The 8941-nt window shown below is 42.3% G+C and overlaps 1 protein-coding gene across 1 annotated transcript; it reads left to right on the top strand.

The window, feature by feature from the left end:
- Positions 1-2262: 2262 nt before the first annotated feature.
- On the top strand, positions 2263-7422 carry HLA-DRA (major histocompatibility complex, class II, DR alpha). Its single transcript, NM_019111.5, has 5 exons — positions 2263-2408; positions 4824-5069; positions 5561-5842; positions 6132-6297; positions 7028-7422. Exons 1-4 carry the CDS (start codon positions 2327-2329, stop codon positions 6284-6286), a joined length of 765 nt encoding a protein of 254 aa, NP_061984.2. The 5' UTR covers positions 2263-2326; the 3' UTR covers positions 6287-6297; positions 7028-7422.
- The last annotated feature ends 1519 nt before the right edge of the window (positions 7423-8941 follow it).

An 8941-nucleotide genomic window follows, 5' to 3' on the forward strand; every position in this document is an offset into this window, starting at 1 on the left:
TTCTAGGACTAAACAGTGTCATAAGTTGCTGAGCAACAACTTGGATTGAAGATGCTATTATAATATATGAAATGTCTTTGAATTTACCATGTTTTTCTCAAGCACCATTTAAGAACAAGGCATTATGGCAGCCAGCAAAGGGCAGACATAGAAAATTATACATGGTTTTGCCTCTAAAAGAGGAGATGACAAGCTTAAATCATAGGATCAGACTCTTAGCACAGACTGATACCATAGGCTCTCATCTGGCCCATTCTCCTGACTCTTTAACTTTCAGGAAAGGTATTCCTGAAAAATTGCAGGAGAGACCATGCTGTAGGTCTCTTTCTAGCGATCTAGGAGTTAATGCCACAGTGTGTTCAAAGCCCTTTGATGCGATCAGATAATCAGTAATGTATGGAATATTTGTGTTCATAACTTGTGAGAACGGCTGCATGGCAGGACAAGACCCCAGCACAACAGTATGGAAAATCCACCCTAAGCAGACATGTCATGACTGATGTTGAACAATGGACTCACCAGCCAGGCACGGTGGCTCATGCCTGTAATCCCAGCACTTTGGGAGGCAGAAGCAGGCAGATCACGAGGTCAGGAGATCAAAACCATCCTGGTTAACATGGTGCAACCCCGTCTCTACTGAAAATACAAAAAAAAAAAAAAAAAAAAAAAAAAAAAAATTGGCCGGGCATGGTGGCGGGCGCCTGTAGTCCTAGCTACTCGGGAGGCTGAGGCAGGAGAATGGCGTGAACCCAGGAGGCAGAGCTTTCAGTGAGCCGAGATCGTGCCACTGCACTCCAGCCTGGGCGACAGAGCAAGACTTCCGTCTCGAAAACAAAACAACAACAAAAAAAAACAATGGATTCACCATCCGATGGGCTCCCTCACTGCCAGGTCACTCTTCATGGAAGTATTTGTATTCCAGTCCTTTCTGTGGAAAGAAATTAACATTCTCCTTTTCATAACACTGTATCTTCAGAAACAAGAGAGTCGAAGTCTCCTAATTTTCAGGACTGTCTATGTTGAACATCAAAATATATTCTTTAGAGCAGATCTTTAATAATCATATGACAAAAGAAAAACTTTCATAATCTTATGACATGAGGGAAGGAATATTAAAGCCGTTCTGTGGGTTATTATCTCTAACGTTCCCAATAGAATAGGCTTTGCCAGCTGGGTGTGGTGGCTCATGCCTGTAATCCCAGCACTTTGCGAGGCCAAGGCGGGCAAATCACGAGGTCAGGAGTCTGAGACCAGCCTGACCAACATGGTGAAACCCCGTCTCTACTAAAAATACAAAAATTATCCGGGCATGGTGGTGGGCGCCTGTAATCCCAGCTACTCAGGAGGCTGAGGCAGGAGAATCGCTTGAACCCGGGAGGCGGAGATTACAATGAGCTGAGATCACGCCACCAACTCCAGCTTGGGCGACAGAGCAAGACTCCGTCTAAAAAAAAAAAAAAAAAAAAAAAGAATAGGCTTTGCCCACTATACTCTCTCATATTCATTGACCTGAATCCTCAAATGAGGTGTGTCCATTAGTCAACTCCAATCTCTTGTCATATATAAGATGGTAGAGATGAGAAGAAGGTAGCTCCTTTACAGCCCACTATTTCCACTAACTACTACCTGTGTTTCAAGATACAGCCTTTCATCCTTCTCCAGTGTTGAGAGTGTTGAACCTCAGAGTTTCTCCTCTCATTTTCTCTAAATGAGATACAATGCCAGCCATCCCAAGCTCTTGGCCTGAGTTGATCATCTTGAAGTCTAGGACTCCAAGAAGCATGAAAGAGCTTCTTTAGTGAAGCTATGTCCTCAGTACTGCCAAAATTCAGACAATCTCCATGGCCTGACAATTTACCTTCTATTTGGGTAATTTATTGTCCCTTACGCAAACTCTCCAACTGTCATTGCACAGACATATGATCTGTATTTAGCTCTCACTTTAGGTGTTTCCATTGATTCTATTCTCACTAATGTGCTTCAGGTATATCCCTGTCTAGAAGTCAGATTGGGGTTAAAGAGTCTGTCCGTGATTGACTAACAGTCTTAAATACTTGATTTGTTGTTGTTGTTGTCCTGTTTGTTTAAGAACTTTACTTCTTTATCCAATGAACGGAGTATCTTGTGTCCTGGACCCTTTGCAAGAACCCTTCCCCTAGCAACAGATGCGTCATCTCAAAATATTTTTCTGATTGGCCAAAGAGTAATTGATTTGCATTTTAATGGTCAGACTCTATTACACCCCACATTCTCTTTTCTTTTATTCTTGTCTGTTCTGCCTCACTCCCGAGCTCTACTGACTCCCAACAGAGCGCCCAAGAAGAAAATGGCCATAAGTGGAGTCCCTGTGCTAGGATTTTTCATCATAGCTGTGCTGATGAGCGCTCAGGAATCATGGGCTATCAAAGGTAGGTGCTGAGGGAATGAAATCTGGGACGATAGACTACGAAGCATTGGAGAAAAGACCTATGGACATTTGGAAGATAATGTGTGGAGTGAAAGAATAGTGTGACAGGTATTATGTGGTCTCGACAGAAAGTATAACAAATTGTGGTTTGGTGGAGTTCTTCCCTCACCACAAACTGAAGTAAGTCAAATTTGGTTTAGAGGGTCAAAACTGAGTTGTGTATTGATGAATAGCAAGGTCCTGCTACAAGCCAAACTGGGGGTGGGGGTGGGGGTGGGGGAGGAAGAATATTTTCTGGCAAGCATTAACAAGTTATATTTCTGGGCTTTAATTATTCTTTCTGGAAAATTAGTAAAATTAAAAACTAAAAACCACACATAGTTTTGCTAGAATTAAATGAAAAAAAAAAAGTTATTAGCCCTGTTCTTATCTGAATACATGATACAGTAGTTATTTTTTGGAGTGTAAATCCTGTCGGTATATATTGAGCACATATATTGTGTTGAAGATTACTAGAAGGAAAAGTCATCAAAAAGCAACAATTTACCCCAGGAAAAGGGGAGGGAAGGCATGCTGATATGAGTTGCCTCATGGGACAGTGATAGCCATTCCCTGCCTTCCCATCTCCATGGTACAGCAGATCTTATATCATGTTAACTTAGTAATATTTCCAAGAGAGTAGAAAAATAAGTAAGGAAATGGGGAATCTGATATTATTCTCTCTCATCTCCAGAGCAACATTGGTGCTGTTGTAAAGATGTACTGTAGAAAAGTATTCTTCACCCAGCGTGACCCCCACAGAAGGTGTCAGGTAGACTTGAAATAAGCAAAGTAATAACCCAGCTCCCATACCCATAGTGGCAATTGTAGATTTCTATTGCCCCAAAAGAGCCATACATAGGGATACTTACCTAGAAAGACAGAGGATCTTCCCTTGGTTTGTGAAGAGGCAGCTAGTATATTTGTGTGTGTTTGCATAGATGCAAACGGTAAATAAATTCCTAGGTTTATCAATACACAGTCAAACATTAAAATCTCTCATCTTGGCTGGGCACGGTGGCTCACGCCTGTAATCCCAGCACTTTGGGAGGCCGAGGCGGGCGGATCATGAGGTCAAGAGATCGAGACCGTCCTGGGCAACATGGTGAAACCCCGTCTCTACTAAAAATACAAAAAATTAGCTGGGTATGGTGGCACACGCCTGTAGTCCCAGCTACTCGGGAGGCTGAGGCAGGAGGATTGCTTGAACTCGGGAGGCGGAGGTTGCAGTGAGCTGAGATGGTGCCACTGCACTCCAGCCTGGCGATAGAGCAAGACTCCGTCTCAAACAACCAAACCAAAACAAAACAAAATATCTCACCTTATCTTTGAAGACTAAGGAAAAAAAAAATCTCCCACTCATCGATACACTCCACAGAGGCAGCATACTCTCCCAGTGTAGCTTTCTCTTTTCATGTTCATTATTCCCTTGGTGTTGGTTATTCTCAATGTCAATCATAACAGAACATCTTCCATAATAACAGTCCCAATTTAAGGAGCATTAAGATAAAAGGTGGAATTGCCAAGGTCAATCCAGACGAGAACCTTCTCATAGAGGTAACCACCGTGTGGGTTTGGATGCTGGGAAGCAGGGGGACTATGACGCTACAAGGTCTCAGTCTTAATTTTTGGAGTACTTCAGTCCCCAGGTATATTTTCCATAGATTTGGCCCTTAAATAAAGAGAAGCTTCTGACTCTAAAATGTAAACAGTGCTTGTTACAGTCTTGTTGATATATTAAGAAATTACTCACCTTATCTCATTTAATCTTAAAAACAAACCCCTGACAGGATCAAAACCACAGCAGGGCTACATAATAGGAAAACTATACATAAATAGGTAGAATAATCTGCTCAGGATCACTAGGTAAGTTGCTGAATAAGAATTCAAGATGTTTTTGATCCCAGAGTTTAAAACCCAACCTTTCAAACAGCGTTTCTTTCTTCTTAGAGTACAATGTTCTGAGAAAGAGATCCTCTGGAATTCTGGCCTAAGTGTATTTAATGCCCGGGTAAAGAAAGTGAGAGAACATTTCTCTTTAGGGGCTGCTGCTGGATTTCTAAAAAGAAAATAATTTCTCAGCTAGTAACATGGAGCCAAACAACAGCTTCACAAGACTCTGGGTTCTTTAGCCCTCATCTCCTTCAATCCACCCTCTTTATAACCAGTCCTTCTTGTTTTTCCCCTCCCAGCTTTGTTCAGCAGCATGCCCTTCACCCAGACCTTGTCTTGTCACTCATCCCTACTCGCCATCATTCTTTCATTCCTCTTGGCCCAATCTCTCTCCACTACTTCCTGCCTACATGTATGTAGGTTATTCATTTCCCTCTCTTGATTCCCCCCACCCAACTCTCTTTCTCCATTTCTTGCCTTTCAGAAGAACATGTGATCATCCAGGCCGAGTTCTATCTGAATCCTGACCAATCAGGCGAGTTTATGTTTGACTTTGATGGTGATGAGATTTTCCATGTGGATATGGCAAAGAAGGAGACGGTCTGGCGGCTTGAAGAATTTGGACGATTTGCCAGCTTTGAGGCTCAAGGTGCATTGGCCAACATAGCTGTGGACAAAGCCAACCTGGAAATCATGACAAAGCGCTCCAACTATACTCCGATCACCAATGGTACCTCCCTCTCTGCTGCACTCCTGGACATGGGAATCCATAGTTTGAAAGTAGTTGCTTCAGCTCTTTGTGTTAGATTATTGTAACTGATTTTCCCTCCAAGGGTCTAACCTTGCCATTAACAAGCCCCAAATTCTCATGCCAGAGGTCTGAGAACTTTATGGGTTTGATCCTATCTTGTTGTGCTCAAGTCTTGTCTCTGTCATCCATGGTCTCCTACGAAGTCATTGCCCTAAGTTCATGCTGGGGGAGCCAGAAGGGAAGTCCTTGGATATCTTATACCTCAATATTGGCTCAATTTCTTGGGGAGGGGGTGCTGTCAGAGATTGTTATCTGAGGATGTGACATAGATTTCTCAGGGCACAATTTCAACTACTTTTTCAGCTTTAGGGTTTTTAGATACGTTTGTACCACAATTGAGCATGGGAGGGAGAGGGGTGAGCCTAAGCAGTGATGGCTGATTTCTGTCATGTCTGTCATGTGTCCCCCAGTACCTCCAGAGGTAACTGTGCTCACAAACAGCCCTGTGGAACTGAGAGAGCCCAACGTCCTCATCTGTTTCATAGACAAGTTCACCCCACCAGTGGTCAATGTCACGTGGCTTCGAAATGGAAAACCTGTCACCACAGGAGTGTCAGAGACAGTCTTCCTGCCCAGGGAAGACCACCTTTTCCGCAAGTTCCACTATCTCCCCTTCCTGCCCTCAACTGAGGACGTTTACGACTGCAGGGTGGAGCACTGGGGCTTGGATGAGCCTCTTCTCAAGCACTGGGGTATGGACCAACACTCAATCTCCTTTATTTCAAGGTTTCCTCCTATGATGCTTGTGTGAAACTCGGTGTTCTAACTGTTTCATAATATCTGCTACAATTAATATAACTGTCTTCTCCTACTATCCAGCTTCCTCCTTTTTTTAATCTGTAATTCTCTCAATACATCATTCTGTCTTCCTCTTCTTTAATCTATGAATAACTTTTCTCTTTATTAAGAACCCTACATTTGATTCTGAGTGTTACTTCTTCCCACACTCATTACCATGTACTCTGCCTTATTTCCCCCCAGAGTTTGATGCTCCAAGCCCTCTCCCAGAGACTACAGAGAACGTGGTGTGTGCCCTGGGCCTGACTGTGGGTCTGGTGGGCATCATTATTGGGACCATCTTCATCATCAAGGGATTGCGCAAAAGCAATGCAGCAGAACGCAGGGGGCCTCTGTAAGGCACATGGAGGTGAGTTAGGTGTGGTCAGAGGAAGACGTATATGGAGATATCTGAGGGAGGAAAACAGGGTGGGGAAAGGAAATGTAATGCATTTAAGAGACAAGGTAGGAACAGATGTGGCTCTTGATTTCTCTTTGCTAGAACGAATCAGACATTCGTATCATCTGGTATCCCAAAGCTTCAGGGTCTGTCATCCCTTTCTATAGACGGGCACCTTGATCACGGCTCCAGTCTTAGAAATCATCTCCAGTACCTAAAACCATTGTTTCACATTAGAATACTGAGTCTAGGGATCTAGAAAATACATTAGAATATGGAGTCTAGGGATCTAGAAAATACTGAGTCTAGGGATCTAGAAAAATAAGCCTCAAGATTTGGGCACATCCTAGCTTGTATTTCCTGGGGCAGGTCATCAGTTCAGAAGCATTTCCAGATCCTGGCTCCTTTCAGGTTAGGGTCAATTCATTGCATGAAATGGGAATCTCTTAGAGGCCAATGCCTGCTTTTGCTTCTTTAGTCTCAAATGTAGTATGAGAAACTCTAAAAAAAGGTAAAGCATGGTTGCTTATTATGTTCAGTTGGAGAGTAGGGTATACAGTTAGTTCATGTTGGAAAGGTTAGATGAACATTGAAAGAATTTTGCAAAGTCAAAGGATTAAGAGAGAAGAGGAAGGAATCTGAAGCAAGGAGCTCAAAACTGATCTTCAACTCCTTGGTAACTATGTGTGTCTTGCTATAGGTGATGGTGTTTCTTAGAGAGAAGATCACTGAAGAAACTTCTGCTTTAATGGCTTTACAAAGCTGGCAATATTACAATCCTTGACCTCAGTGAAAGCAGTCATCTTCAGCATTTTCCAGCCCTATAGCCACCCCAAGTGTGGATATGCCTCTTCGATTGCTCCGTACTCTAACATCTAGCTGGCTTCCCTGTCTATTGCCTTTTCCTGTATCTATTTTCCTCTATTTCCTATCATTTTATTATCACCATGCAATGCCTCTGGAATAAAACATACAGGAGTCTGTCTCTGCTATGGAATGCCCCATGGGGCATCTCTTGTGTACTTATTGTTTAAGGTTTCCTCAAACTGTGATTTTTCTGAACACAATAAACTATTTTGATGATCTTGGGTGGAATTTTTGGTGTTTAAGCCAGTTCTTTGGGTGGCGGTGGGGGGTGGGGAGTCGGTCCTGGGGAATATATGTGATCCTTTCCCGGTAAAATATCTGAATGTTGAATTTATCTTATAAATTCTAGAATTCATCAGACATATCCCGGTTCATTTGGGCTTGGTCTCATTTTGTGCATCTGCAGGCAACCCTCTTGTTGTGGTCTAGTCCTCATCAGGAAAACCTAAAGTGGGATTGGTTTGTTGGGAGATCTCTACTGAGCAATGATATAACTCTATCTTCAGTAGAGTGAATCTGAAACCCCAAGGTATGGATCTCAGAATGCATGGGATGGAGGGGAGCAGATGGGGTTAGAGTGGGGAGAAGGAAGACAGAAGAATCCATAAACATTGCAGGATTTACATATCAACATCGTTCATTCCAGATTTAATGAGCAAAGAGATTGGACACTGAAGACTGGCCTTACCCATTCTGTTAGACATAGTCTCAGATGCCTATTGTATTACCGAGAGAGTAGTCTGACTGATTCTTGAAACCACCTTATATTTGAAGATGTGTCTTTGAGTGGAAAAGCTGAGTGAAATTTGGGGTTGGGGAGAAAGATATGACATTAAGATGAGAGGAAGGAATATTTGAAACACGATGAACTGTTGCTCATTTGTCTATAAAACTATGACTTGATATTTATCTCTAAAATAGTTTCTAGAACCTGCCATAAACCACTAAGGTAAACTATTCATGATAGTGTGGTAGACTGCAAATAAATGCTGTTGAAATGAGTTAGGCTTGGGTTTCATCTTGGCTGTATCATTTACTAGCTATGTTTTCACTGGTATCTTACTTAACTTAGCCTCACATTACTCATGAAAATACTGGTGTTAATTTTTACTACATTGAATTAATATCAGAATTAAAAGGAAAACGCAAGCAAAGTAATTAGATACATGCTTAGTGATAATAAAATATTGCAAAAAATTATACATTCTGTTGTTTTTCTCAAAATTTCTATAGAGTGATGATAAAAATCTAAGAGAAGCTAAACAAAACAAGGATAAACCAAAGCATCATGACCTTCTAAGCCTTACTAATAAATAAGAAGTTTCTCGGCTGGGCACGGTGGCTCACGCCTGTAATCCAGCACTTTGGGAGGCCGAGGTGGGCGGATCACAAGGTCAGGAAATCAAGACCATCCTGGCCAACATGGTGAAACCCCATCTCTACTAAAAATACAAAAATTAGCCAGGCGTGGTGATAGGCGCCTGTAATCCCAGCTACTCTGGAGGTTGAGGCAGGAGAATCTCTTGAATCCGGGAGGCAGAGGTTGCAGTGAGCCGAGATCGCACCACTGCGCTCCTGCCTGGCAACAGACTGAGACTCCGTCTCAAAAAAAAAAAAAAAAAAAAAGTTTCTCTACTGTTGGTTCAGAGAATCAAAGCAGAATCTTGAGACTACTGATGGTAGAATAGGTATGAATGTCTTTCTTACATGACTACAAACTTTATTATAAAATAAATAGCTTAACACA

The sequence above is a fragment of the Homo sapiens genome, chromosome 6, assembly GCF_000001405.40.
Source record: "Homo sapiens chromosome 6, GRCh38.p14 Primary Assembly".
In the NCBI taxonomy this organism is placed as follows: Eukaryota; Metazoa; Chordata; class Mammalia; order Primates; family Hominidae; genus Homo; species Homo sapiens.

Coding starts and splice junctions, on each gene's coding strand:
- HLA-DRA (NM_019111.5), top strand. CDS start 2,327: ATGGCCATAAGTGGAGTCCCTGTGCTAGGATTTTTCATCATAGCTGTG. Junction 5,070..5,560: donor CTATACTCCGATCACCAATG/GTACCTCCCTCT, acceptor TGTGTCCCCCAG/TACCTCCAGAGGTAACTGTG. Junction 5,843..6,131: donor GCCTCTTCTCAAGCACTGGG/GTATGGACCAAC, acceptor ATTTCCCCCCAG/AGTTTGATGCTCCAAGCCCT.